Raw genomic sequence first — 14144 nt, 5'->3', positions numbered from 1 at the left:
AAGATTTGATAATCTTTGTTGTATGTATAAAATCTGATCAAATCTACCAAAAAAGCTACTAGAACTAATAAGTAAGTCTAAGTTTAGCAAGGAGGGAGGATACAAAAATCAACATACAAAAATCAGCTGTATTCCTATATCCTAGCAGTAAACAATCAACTTGAAATTTTTTTAAATGTCATTTATAACTTCATTAAAAAATGAGATACAGATGAATCTGATAAAATAAGGAAACACCAAGGCTGGGCACAGTGGCTCATGCCTGTAATCCCAGCATTTTGGGAAGCCAAGCCGGGAGGATTACTTGAGTTCAGGAATTTAAGACCACTCTGGACAAAATGGTGAAACCCCATCTCTACTAAAAATACAAAACTTAGCTGGGTGCAGTGGCTCATGCCTATAATCCCAGTTACTTAGGAGGCTGAGGCAGGAGAATCATTTGAACCCAGGAGGCAGAGGTTGCAGTAGGCCAAGATCGAGGCACCGCAATCCAGCCTGGAGTGAAACTGTCTCAAAAAGAAAGGAAAGCCATATTTTAAAATCTATAAAATATTACTGAGAAAATTAAATTTGACCTATATAAATAGAAACCATTTCACAGGAGTCAAAAAATGCATTCTCATTAAAATGTAAATCTTCCCCCAATTAATGTATAGATTCATCACTAACTCAGTGTAATTTCCAGCACAGCAGGTTTTTAAAAAATTAACTATCTGGGAGAGGGGTGGAGCCAAGATGGCCAAATAGGAACAGCTCCAGTATACAGCTCCCAACGTGAGACATGCAGAAGATGGGTGATTTCTGCATTTCCAACTGAGGTACTGGGTTCATCCCACAGAGGAGTGCTGGACAGTGGGTGCAGCACACCATGCATGAGGCAAAGCAGGGTGAGGCATCACCTCACCAGGAAGCACAAGGGGTCAGGGAATTCCCTTTCCTAGTGAAAGAAAGGGGTGACAGATGGCACCTGGAAAATCAGGTCACTCCCACCCTAATACTTTGCATTTCCAATGGGCTTAACAAATGGCACATCAGGAGATTATACCCCACACCTGGCTGAGAGGGTCCTATGCCCACGGAGCCTCACTCATTGCTAGCACAGCAGTCTGAGATCAAACTGCAAGGCAGCAGTGAGGCTGGGGGAGGGGCACCCACAATTGCTCAGGCTTCAGTAGGTAAACAAAGCTGCCAGGAAGTTCTAACTCGGAGGAGCCCACCACAGCTCAAGCAGGCCTGCCTGCCTCTGTAGGCTCCACCTCTGGGGGCAGGGCACAGACTAACAAGAGGCAGCAGTAACCTCTGCAGACTTAAAAGTCCGTGTCTGACAGCTTTGAAGAGAATAGTGGTTCTCCCAGCACACAGCTTGAGATCTGAGAATGGACAGACTGCCTCCTCAAGTGGGTCCCTGACTGCTGAGTAGCCTAACTGGGAGGCACCCAACAGTAGGGGCAGACTGACACCTCAAATGGCTGGGTACTCCTCTGAGACAAAACTTCCAGAGGAACGATCAGGCAGCAGCATTTGCTGTTCACCAATATCCGCTGTTCTGCAGCCACTGCTGCTGATACCCAGGCAAAGAGGGTCTGGAGTGGACCTCCAGTAAACTCCAACAGACCTGCAGCTGGGGGTCCTAACTGTTAGAAGGAAAACTAACAAACAGAAAGGACATCCACACCAAAACCCCATCTGTATGTCACCATCATCAAAGACCAAAGGTAGATAAAACCACAAAGATGGGGAAAAAACAGAGCAGAAAAACTGGAAACTCTAAAAATCAGAGGTCCTCTCCTCTTCCAGAGGAACACAGCTCCTCACTAGCTAATGGAACAAAGCTGGACGGAGAATGACTTTGATGAGTTGAGAGAAGAACGCTTCAGAAGATCAAACTATTCTGAGCTAAAGGAGGAAGTTGGAACCAATGGCAAAGAAGTTAAAAATCTTGAAAAACAATTAGATGAATGGCTAACTAGAATAACCAGTGAAGAGAAGTCCTTAAAGGACCTGACGGAGCTGAAACCCAAGGTATGAGAACTATGTGACAAATGCACAAGCCTCAGTAGCTGATGCGATCAACTGGCAGAAAGGGTATCAGCAATGGAAGACAAAATGAATGAAATGAGTGAGAAGAGAAGTTCAGAGAAAAAAGAATAAAAAGAAATGAACAAAGCCTTCAAGAAATATGGGACTATGTGAAAAGACCAAAACTACATCTGATTGGTGTACCTGAAAGTGATGGGAAGAATGGAACCAAGTTGGAAAACACTCTGCGGGATATTATCCAGGAGAACTTCCCCAATCTAGCATGGCAGGCCAACATTCAAATTCAGGAAATACAGAGAATGCCACAAAGATACTCCTGGAGAAGAGAAACTCCAAGACACATAATTGTCAGATTCACCAAAACTGAAATGAAGGAAAAAATGTTAAGAGCAGCCAGAGAGAAAGGTCGGATTAACAACAAAGGGAAGCCCATTAGACTAACAGCTGATCTCTCAGCAGAAACTCTACAAGCCACAAGACAGTGGGGGCCAATATTCAACATTCTTAAAGAAAGAATTTTCAACCCAGAATTTCATATCCAGCCAAACTAAGCTTCATAAGCAAAGGAGAAATAAAATACTTTACAGACAAGCAAATGCTGAGAGATTTTGTCACCACCAGGCCAGCCCTAAAAGAGCTCCTGATGGAAGCACTAAACATGGAAAGGAACAACCAGTACCAGACACTGCAAAAACATGCCAAATTGTAAAGACTATCAAGGCTAGAAAGAAACAGCATGAACTAATGAGCAAAATAACCAGCTAACATCATAATGACATGATCAAATTCACACATAACAATATTAACCTTAAATATAAATGGGCTAAATGTTCCAATTAAAAGACACAGACTGGCAAATTGGATAAAGAGTCAAGACCCATCAGTGTGCTGTATTCAGGAAACCCATCTCACGTGCAGAGACACACATAAGCTCAAAATAAAGGGATGGAGGAAGATCTAACAAACAAATGGAAAACAAAAAAAGGCAAGGGTTGCAATCCTAGTCTCAGATAAAACAGACTTTAAACCAACAAAGATCAAAAGAGACAAAGAAGGCCATTACATAATGGTAAAGGGATCAATTCAACAAGAAGAGCCAACTATCTTAAATATATATGCCACCAATACAAGAGCACCCAGATTCATGAAGCAGGTCCTTAGTGACCTACAAAGAGACTTAGACTCCCACACAATAATAATGGGAGACTTTAACACCCCACTGTCAACATTAGACAGATCAACGAGACAGAAAGTTAACAAGGATATCCAGGAATTGAACTCAGCTCTGCACCAAGCAGACCTAATAGACATCTACAGAACTCTCCACCCCAAATCAACAGAATATACATTTTTTTCATCACCACACCACACCTATTCCAAAATTGACCACACAGTTGGAAGTAAAGCACTCCTCAGCAAATGTAAAAGAACAGAAATTATAACAAACTGTCTCTCAGATGACAGGGCAATCAAAGTAGAACTCAGGATTAAGAAACTCACTCAAAACTGCTAAAATACATGGAAACTCAACAACCTGCTCCTGAATGACTACTGAGTACATAACGAAATGAAGGCAGAAATAAAGATGTTCTTTGAAACCAGAGAGAACAAAGGCACAACGTACAAGAATCTCTGGGACACATTCAAAGCAGTGTGTGGAGGGAAATTTACAGCACTACATGCCCACAAGAGAAAGCAGGAAAGATCTAAAATTGACACCCCAACATCACAATAAAAGAGAACTAGAGAAGCAAGAGCAAACACATTCAAAAGCTAACAGAAGGCAAGAAATAACTAAGATCAGAGCAGAAATGAAGGAAATAGAGACACAAAAAAACCCTTCAAAAAATCAACGAATCCAGGAGCTGGTTTTTTGAAAAGATCAAAAAAATTGATAGACCACTAGCAAGACTAATAAAGAAGAAAAGAGAGAAGAATCAAGTAGACACAATAAAAAATGACAAAGGGAATGTCACCACCGATCCCACAGAAATACAAACTACCATCAGAGAATACTATAAACACCTCCATGCAAATAAACTAGAAAATCTAGAAGAAACGGATAAATTCCTCAACACATACACCCTCCCAAGTCTAAACCAGCAAGAGTTGAATCTCTGAATAGACCAATAACAGGCTCTGAAATTGAGGCAATAATTAATAGTTTACCAACTAAAAAAAGTCCAGGACCAGATGGATTCACAGCCGAATTCTACCAGAGGTACAAGGAGGAGCTGGTACCATTCCTTCTGAAACTATTCCAATCAATAGAAAAAGAGGGAATCCTCCCTAACTCATTTTATGAGGCCAGCATCATCCTGATACCAAAGCCTGGCAGAGACACAACAAAAAAAAGAGAATTTTAGACCAATAACCTTGATAAACATTGATGCAAAAATCCTCAATAAAATACCGCCAACTGAATCCAGCAACACATTAAAAAGCTTATCCACCATGATCAAGTCGGCTTCATCCCTGGGATGCAAGGCTAGTTCAACATATGAAAATCAATAAATGTAATACAGCATATAAACAGAACCAAAGACAAAAACCACATGATTATCTCAATAGATGCAGAAAAGGCCTTTGACAAAATTCAATAACACTTCATGCTAAAGACTCTCAATAAATTAGGTATTGATGGGACATAACTCAAAATAATAAGAGCTATCTATGACAAACCCACAGCCAATATCATACTGAATGGGCAAAAACAGGAAGCATTCCCTCTGAAAACTGGCACAAGACAGGGATGCCCTCTGTCACCACTCCTATTCAACACAGTGTTGGAAGTTCTGGCCAGGGCAATCAGGCAGGAGAAGTTAATAAAGGGCATTCAATTAGGGAAAGAGGAAGTCAAACTGTCCCTCTTTACAGATGACATGATTGTATATCTAGAAAACCCCATCGTCTCAGCCCAAAATCTCCCTAAGCTGATAAGCAATTTCAGCAAACTCTCAGGATACAAAATCAATGTGCAAAAATCACAAGCATTCTTATACACCAATAACAGACAAACAGAGAACCAAATCATGAGTGAACTCCCATTCACAATTGCTTCAAAGAGAATAAAATACCTAGGAATACAACTTACAAGGGACGTGAAGTACCTCTTCAAGGAGAACTACAAACCACTGCACAATGAAATAAAAGAGGATACAAAGAAATGGAAGAACATTTCATGCCCATGGGTAGGAAGAATTAATATCGTGAAAATGGCCATACTGCCCAAGGCAATTCATAGATTCAATGCCATCCCCATCAAGCTACCAATGACTTTCTTCACAAAATTGGAAAAAAACTACTTTAAAATTCATATGGAACCAAAAAAGAGCCCACACTGCCAAGTCAATCCTAAGCCAAAAGAACAAAGCTGGAGGCATCACACTACCTGACTTCAAACTATACTACAAGGCTACAGTAAACAAAACAGCATGGTACTGGTACCAAAACACAGATATAGAACAATGGAACAGAACAGAGCCCTCAGAAATAACACTGCATTATCTACAACTATCTGATCTTTGACAAATCTGACAAAAAACAAGCAATGGGGAAAGGAGTCCCTATTTAATAAATGGTGCTGGGAAAACTGGCTAGCCATATGTAGAAAGCTGAAACTGGATCCCTTCCTTACACATTATACAAAAATTAATTCAAGATGGATTAGAGACTTACATGTTAGACCTAAAACCATAAAAACCCTAGAAGAAAACCTAGGCAATACCATTCAGGACATAGGCATGGGCAAGGACTTCATGTCTAAATCACCAAAAGCAATGGCAACAAAAGCCAAAATTGACAAATGGGATCTAATTAAACTAAAGAGCTTCTGCACAGCAAAAGAAACTACCATCAGACTTAACAGGCAACATACAGAATGGGAGAGAGTTTTTGCAACCTACTCATCTGACAAAGGGCTATCTACAATGAACTCAAACAAATTTACAAGAAAAAAACAAAGAACCCCATCAAAATGTGGGTGAAGGGTATGAACAGACACTTCTCAAAAGAAGACATTCATGCAGCCAAAAAACACATGAAGAAATGCTCACCATCACTGGCCATCAGAGAAACGCAAATCAAAACCACAATGAGATACCATCTCACACCAGTTAGAATGGTGATCATTAAAAAGTCAGGAAACAACAGGTGCTGGAGAGGATGTGGAGAAATAGGAACACTTTTACACTGTTGATGGGATTGTAAACTAGTTCAACCATTGTGGAAGTCAGTGTGGCGATTCCTTAGAGATCTAGAAGTGGAAATACCATTTGACCCAGCCATCCCATTACTGGGTATATACCCAAAGGATTATAAATCATGCTGCTATGAAGACACATGCACACGTATGTTTATTGCAGCACTATTCACAATATCAATGACTTGGAACCAACCGAAATGTCCATCAATGATAGACTGGATTAAGAAAATGTGGCACATATGCACCATGGAATACTATGCAGCCATAAAAAGGATGAGTTCATGTCCTTTGTAGGGACATGGATGAAGCTGGAAACCATCATTCTCAGCAAACTATTGCAAGGACAAAAAAAAAAACACCACATGTTCTCACTCATAGGTGGGAATTGAACAATGAGAACACTTGGTCACAGGGTGGGGAACATCACACACCGGGGAGTGTTGTGGGGTTGGGGGAGGGGGGAGGGATGGCATTAGGAGATATACCTAATGCTAAATGATGAGTTAATGGGTGCAGCACACCAACATGGCACATGTATACATATGTAACAAACGTGCACGTTGTGCACATGTACCCTAAAACTTAAAGTATAATAATGATAAAATTTTTTAAAAAGTTAAATTTGAACTACAAAAAAAAATTAACAATCTGATTCTAAAACTCAAGTGCAAATGCAAAAGATCCAACATAATCAAAATAACCCTTAAAAAAGAAGAAAACTGAAGGGCTGGTGTCAAGATTTAGTATAAATTTACAGTAATGAAACAGTGTGATATGGGTGGAATATCTCTACAAGTGCATGGTACCAAAAGTGTTTTGGGTTTTGGAATATTTGCACATATATAATGAGATATCTCAAAAATGGAATCGAACTCTAAACACAAAATACACTTATGTTACATGCACCTTATATGCAGGGCTTAAAGGTAATTTTATGGAACACTTTTAGTAAATTTGCAGATGAAAGTTTGTGTACCTGATGTCTAGTTTGAAATTTTCTACTTGTGGCATCATTTTGGCACTCAAAAAGTTTTGGATTTTGCAGCATTTCTGATTTTGGATTTTGGATTAGGGATGCTAGACCTACATGAAGAAAGCCAGATAGAGATAGTCTCCAGTTTAAGATGGTTCTACTTAGAATTTTTCAACTGTACAATGGGTTTATTGGGGTATTAAATTGATTTTCAAATTATGATTGGTTCATCAGTATAACTCTAGAAGAATACGCAGATTGATGGAATACAACAAATGGTCCAGAAATAGACACACACACATATGCCAGCTTACTTTTCACAAAGGGACAATAGCAATGTATGGAGAAAAGACAGCATTTTCAACATATGCTGCTGGAACAGATAGATATCCACATCCATACAATGAACTTACATCACACCTCACTCATATGCAAAAATGTACACAATGTGGATCACAGATCTAAATATAAAACCTAAAACTATAAAAATTCTTCAAGAAAGCAGAGGAGAAAAATCTCTGGGACCCTGTGCTGGACAAAGACTTTTTTTAGGCATGAGACAAAAAGCAAAGTCTGTAATTAAACGAACAGATATATCACATTTCATCAAAACGAAAAACTTCAGCTCTTTAAAATATATTATTAAGAAAACAAAAAGTCAAGCTACAAACTGGGAAAAAATCTTTCTGAAAAAGCATAATAATGGAATGATATCCAGAATTTATTTTAAAAAACTCTTAAAACTCAGCAAATAAGAATAAAAACTATCTAATTTTTAAATCTTTATAAGCTATCCAGATTGGAAAAGACAGTTCACTAAAGAAGATATACAGGTGGCAAATCAGCACACGGGAAGATGTTCAACATTCTTAGTCCTTAGGTCAATGCATATTCACACCACAGTGACACGCACAATATGCACCCATTGGAATGGCTAACAGTAAAAACTAATAAACAGCAATACTAAGAGCTCATGATGACATTGCACAATGAGAATTGTCATATACTGCTGATGGGAATGGAATACAGTATAAATACTTAAACATTTAGTAGTTTCTTAATAAGGAGAATACAAACGGACAGGAAGAGATTTTTATGGATGATGGGCATGTTACTGCTCTTGATTATGGTGATGGTTTCACATGTGCATACGTATGCCAAAACTTATCAAATCGTATATTTTACGTACATTCAGCCTATCATATATCAGTTATACCTCACTAAAGCTATAAATTGCAGGAATAAACATCTAAGACAATGGCTAGGGCAGGGAAAAAAGGGTATTAAATGATGCAAGAGAGAGCTAGAATATTCAGATCTTAACCTAATAGCAATGGCAAGTGGTATGCTGAGTTACAAGGAAGAGACAACATCAGATCTGAATTTTTTTAAATTAATAATTATAGTTTCAGAGTAGACCATGGTCTCAGGAAGTGGGGTAGCAGGAAAAATAGTTCTAAGGTTACTGCAGTATTCTGAGTGGGAGAGAATGGTAACCCGATCTGGGAGAAGCAGAGTCAATAAAAAGGCTGAGACTGCCCTTCACACTGAGAAAGGTACAGTGGAGTTATCATAGCTCTTTGGTATACAATATACATTATTTCTCAGTCTATTTTAATGTCAAACACGTTTCTGAGATGATCATCCCTATCACACGTCAGTGCTCTGTGGTGCAATACTAAGCAATGTGTGTGAATATTACTGTGGGATACATTAAAAGGCCTTCTACTTATGCAATGGTCCTACCGTTAAAATCCATTTTGAGTTGTTCAATGAGCAATGTAAAAGTCTCATAATTAGAGAAAAGCAAATCATAATCCTCTGACGCTATTTCTGATGGCCATGTTATGTCATCAAGGTTATCCACTGAATGTATTTGGCTTTTGACCTGTAAGATAAATAATACTGCCTCAAATGTCCTCAAAATATTCATAGAATATACCAGTTGTACAGAAGTGGTATTTATTCATATTTTTATATGAGCAAAACCACAGGTGCTTCTTAAAACAACAGATTTTTCTTAAAAGGGTACCGTTATCAATGGGTACTTGTTATTAAGCCCTTTTATTCTAACTAATTGTCTTTATTAAAAAAGGTTCTCACTTTACCTTTTATAATGTGTTTTTTTAACAATAATGTTTCAGATAATTTACTTATTACAATACCTTGTTCTTTTCATTAGATTTCTTTTCAGGCCTGAAAAAAGAAACAATTCTTCTTAGACAAACAAATACATAAAATACAAATAATGTCCAAATCTATTATTTTATTATATAAAATCTCGGCATTTATAAGTTATTTATTCTATCCATTAAGTGTTCAGGTCATTTTTTAACAGGTAATGTAAATATAACTATTTTCCACATGGGGAATTAAACTATAAACAGAAAGAGTAACATTAAGGGAGAAAGAAAATATGATAATAATAATATCATTACAAAGAATTGAATTTAGATCAAGCTTTCTGACAGTCAAGGCAAAAGGAAAAACATGTTACTGATATTATGTGATAGAAAGACATATACCAGGACTTCTCATTGCTGTCCTTTTCAATAAAAACAAGCTTTTACTGGCACTGAAACCTATTTGGAAAACATTATTTATGTTCTTATGTGAGGGGAACCCTTTTTTAAATGATAATATTAGCTTTTTCAGGACTTATTATGCAGACACTATGCATCATTCTAAGCACTGTGCATGTGTCAAGCTCATTTTAATCATCATAACAATTCTTTGAGGTAGGTAATATTAGGGCTTCTATAAAGAAAGAAACTAGGCCCAGAAAGGCCATATAAATTTTCCCAGCCCATAGAGCTGGTCAGTAATTGACACAGCATTGAAATCCAAGAATTCTCCCTCCAAAACATGTGTTTTGCAATATGCTGTGAAGGTAATATTTATATTCAAGTGTTTTTAAGAGATATGATAGCAGACAAATCCATATTATCATTCTGTTTTTGGCTATAACTAAAAATTTCTGATTATCATTCTGTTTTTGGCTATAACTAATAATTTCTGAATCCTGCACTTTTTTTTCACCTTTTGAAAATTGCAGTGTCTTTTTTTTATATATACATACTTTAAGTTTAGGGTACATGTGCATAACGTGCAGGTTTGTTACATATGTATACATGTGCCATGTTGGTGTGCTGCACCCATTAACTCATCATTTAGCATTAGGTATATCTCCTAATGCTATCCCTCCCCCCTCCCCCCACCCCACAACAGTCCCTGGTATGTGATATTCCCCTTCCTGTGTCCATGTGTTCTCATTGTTCAATTCCCACCTATGAGTGAGAACATGAATCCTGCACTTTTTTAAAAAATAAAGACTTTATACAGAGGCAAGTTTGGAAACCTACTACTTTCAAAAAACTAAAAATTAGTTTTTAAAAGAAATTTATCAATGTCATTCATTTATTTCTTCAACTGTTTATTCATGCATTCAACAAATACTCATTGAGCATACAATATATGCTGATAACATTGCTGGCCCAGGAAAATATGGCTTTGATGCTTTAGGAGTTTATAATCCTGAAGTAATAATCTGCAATAGATTGTCAATAGTTTGCTTTTCTCAACTTCATGAACAAAATCCTTCCCTACTCCCCAGAATCTAAACAATCATAAAGTTGATACACCTGATATTTTAGAGTAAGTACCTAAGCAAATCATGGCTATTCATGATGCTACTGTCAAAGGTAGTGCAAGATGTGCAATTATGAAGGAACATTTAAATTCTATTCAGCATGGCCTAAGTGTGTGAATGTTTATTATAATTCTTTTTAAAAATCTGTGTATGACAGTTTAAGTTTTAGGTCATCATCGGCATGTACAGTTACACTAACATGTTACACTTCTGAACCAATTCTGAAAAAACAACTCTAATCATAAAACTATACATGAATAGAAGTTCTAAGGGCAATTAGTTTGCTAAAAATCCATAAAAGATAATGAATCAAGCTGTCTAATGCTTAGACATGCAACCAAGCAAACAAAATTACCTTTCATAACCATGTTCTTCTCTTATGGATCATTCCCAACAGTAAAAAATAAACTCTAAAAATTTCTGTTTTGAAACACAAAGAGAGAAAACTCCCTCAAATCCCACACTCTTTTTTAATTATTGCCCATTTCTATATTGCCTTTCCCAGCAAATTTTCTCTCAAGAGTTGTCTACATTCATCCACTACAGATTTCCATGGCTATCATTTGTTGAAACTTCTCCTAGTCAAAGTCACTAATCCTTATTATAATCAATCTTTCAACAGCACTGATACAGTTGAGTATTTCCAGTTTGAGGAGACTATATTATTCTAGTTCCAGGAAAAGTAATTGGTGTTAACGTTCTTTCCTAGAGATTTATTTTCTTTTCTTTCTTTTTTGTTCTTTCTTTTTTTTTTTTTTTTTGACTTTAAAATTTTTTTAACCTTAAGTTCTGGGATACATGTGCAGAACGTGCAGGTTTGTTACAAAGGTATACATGTGCCATGGTCATTTGCTTCACCTATCAACCTGTCATCTAGGTTTTAAGTCCTGCATGCACTAGGTATTTGTCCTAATGCTCTCCCTCCCCTTGCTCCCTCACCCCCAGGCAGGCCCCAGTGTGTGATGTTCCCCTCCCTATGTCCATGTGCTCTTATTGTCCAACTCCCACTTGTGAGTGAGAATATGCAGTGTTTGGTTTTCTGTTCCCATGTTAGTTTGCTGAGAATGATAGTTTCTCACTTCATCCATGTCCCTGCAAAGGACATGAACTCATTCTTTTTTATGGCTGAACAGTATTCCATGGATTATATTTGTCACTTTTTTTATCCAGTCTATCATTGATGGATATTTGGGTTGGTTACAAGTCTTTGCTATTGTAAATAATACCGCAATAAACTTACGTGTGCATGTGTCTTTATAGTAGCATGATTTATAATCCTTTGGGTATATACCCACTAATGGGATTGCTGGGTCAAATGGTATTTCTGGTTCTAGATCCTTGAGGAATCACCACACTGTCTTCCACAATGGTTGAACCAATTTACACTCCCACCAACAGTGTAAAAGTGTTCCTGTTTCTCCACAGGCTCACCAGCATCTGTTGTTTCCTGACTTTTTAATGATCACCATTCTAACTGGCATGAGATGGTACCTCATTGTGGCTTTGATGTGCATTTTTCTAATGATCAGTGATGATGAGCTTTTCTTCATGTTTCTTGGCCACGTAAATGTCCTCTTTTGAGATGTGTCTGCACATATCCTTTGCCCACTTTTTGAGGGGGTGTTCCCAGATATTTCTTATAAAGGACTTATAAATTTTACCTTCTTTACCATCTATTTCACTTAAACTGCTATCATCATTTACTTGTTGCAGACCATGAGTTAGTAAATTGGCCTTCTCAAATATGGGTGTAATCACAGATTATTTTGAGGTCCGTTTTTTATTTTCATGTTTCTTTCTTCATATGCAAGGCAAAAGCTCTACTTTAAAAACTCTATAAAAAGCCAATGTTTCCTAATAACTCTATTGACAATGAACAAAAAAACCACAATTTTTGTAAAACTCCAACTGTTTTCCATCTCATTGCACTGATTAATTTTTTAAATGTTTAGAACTACAAACAACATAAAAGGAAATGTGCATCCCCTGCTTCAAAAACAAGGTAATATACAATTATAATACATTGTGTTCTGTAAGAGTTGATATATTAAAAAGTTATATTTTAGCACAAGGAAGGCTTTAGAGAAGAGGCAAAATATAAGAAGGGCCCACTAGGGAAAAACAGTGAGAGAAAATCCTTCCAGTTAGAGAACAGAATGTGAGCACAAAGATTAAGCACATGAAGTCTAGATGCTTACTAAGAACTTGAAAGGAAAAGTGTAAAATACTTGGAAGCTAAGAATAGGAGATGAATCTACACTACACTTGAATGCTATATTAAAAAGCTGGAGTCCACTGAATATGAGAAATGACTGTTAAACATGAAAATCACAATTAGATTTGGGCTATATTTCTGTTTCTATTATTCAATATAATAATGTTTACCTTTAAATACAATTTCAAAAGTAGCTGTGGCACATAAAACATGAAAGACGAAATCAGGAAAATGTCTTCAGGGAGGGTGTATTAGTCCATTTTCACACTGCTATAAAGAAATACTGAAGACTGGGTAATTCATAAAGGCTAAGTTTCTCCTTGGTCCCTTTTAGCCACAGTTGGACCTGTAGTGGCTGAATGCAGGGCAGCAAGTCCTGAGGCTGCACACAGTACCAGGGCCCTGGACCCAAACCTATGAAACCATTTTTTCCTTCCAGGACTCTGGGCCTGTGATGCGAGTGGCTGCCACGAAGATCTCTGTCATGCCCTAAAGACACTTTCTCCATTTCATGGCAATTAACATTCCGCTCCTCGTTATTTATGCAAATTTCTGCAGCCAACTTGCATTCGTCCATAGAAAATGTGTTGTTTCTCTTTTCTACCAAATGGTCAGGCTACAAATTTTCCAAATTTATGCTCTGCTTCCCTTTTAAACATAAGCCCCAGCTTAAAACCATCTCTTTGTGAATGCATAAAACTGAATGCTTTCAGAATCAACCAGGTCACCTCTTGAATGCCTTGCTGCTTAGAAATTTCTTCTACCAGATAGCCTAAATCATCTCTCTCAAGTTCAAAGTTTTACAGATTGCTAGTGCAGGGGCAAAATGCTGTCAGTCTCTTTGCTAAAGCATATCAAGAGTCACCTTTGTTCCAGTCCCCAACAAGTTCCTTATCTCCACCTAAGATCACCTCAGCCTGGACTTCATTGGCCATATCACTATCAGCATTTTGGTAAAAAAAACTATTCAACAAGTCTGTAGGAAGTTCCAAACTTTCCCACATCTTCCTGTCTTCTTTTGAGCCCTCCAAACTGTTAAAACCTCTGTTACTCAGTTCCAAAG

The 14144-nt window shown here is 37.5% G+C and overlaps 1 protein-coding gene across 3 annotated transcripts in view; it reads right to left on the bottom strand.

Annotated features, from left to right (window-relative positions):
* Positions 1 to 14144, bottom strand: part of POTEA (POTE ankyrin domain family member A (gene/pseudogene)) — a 72806-nt gene that overhangs the window by 13884 nt on the left and 44778 nt on the right. For 2 of the 3 annotated variants that reach the window (NM_001005365.2, NM_001002920.1), the window contains 2 exons: positions 9383 to 9413; positions 8964 to 9105 (listed from right to left, as the gene is read on the bottom strand). The exons of the other annotated variant lie outside the window; for it this stretch is intronic. In NM_001005365.2, the coding sequence (NP_001005365.2) occupies positions 8964 to 9105; positions 9383 to 9413 (173 nt within the window). The remainder of the gene's footprint in view (positions 1 to 8963; positions 9106 to 9382; positions 9414 to 14144) is intronic. 3 annotated transcript variants of the gene reach the window in all.

The sequence above is a fragment of the Homo sapiens genome, chromosome 8, assembly GCF_000001405.40.
Source record: "Homo sapiens chromosome 8, GRCh38.p14 Primary Assembly".
In the NCBI taxonomy this organism is placed as follows: Eukaryota; Metazoa; Chordata; class Mammalia; order Primates; family Hominidae; genus Homo; species Homo sapiens.
Note: the sequence above shows the minus strand (reverse complement) of the source record. Positions and strands in the feature narration are given on the sequence as shown.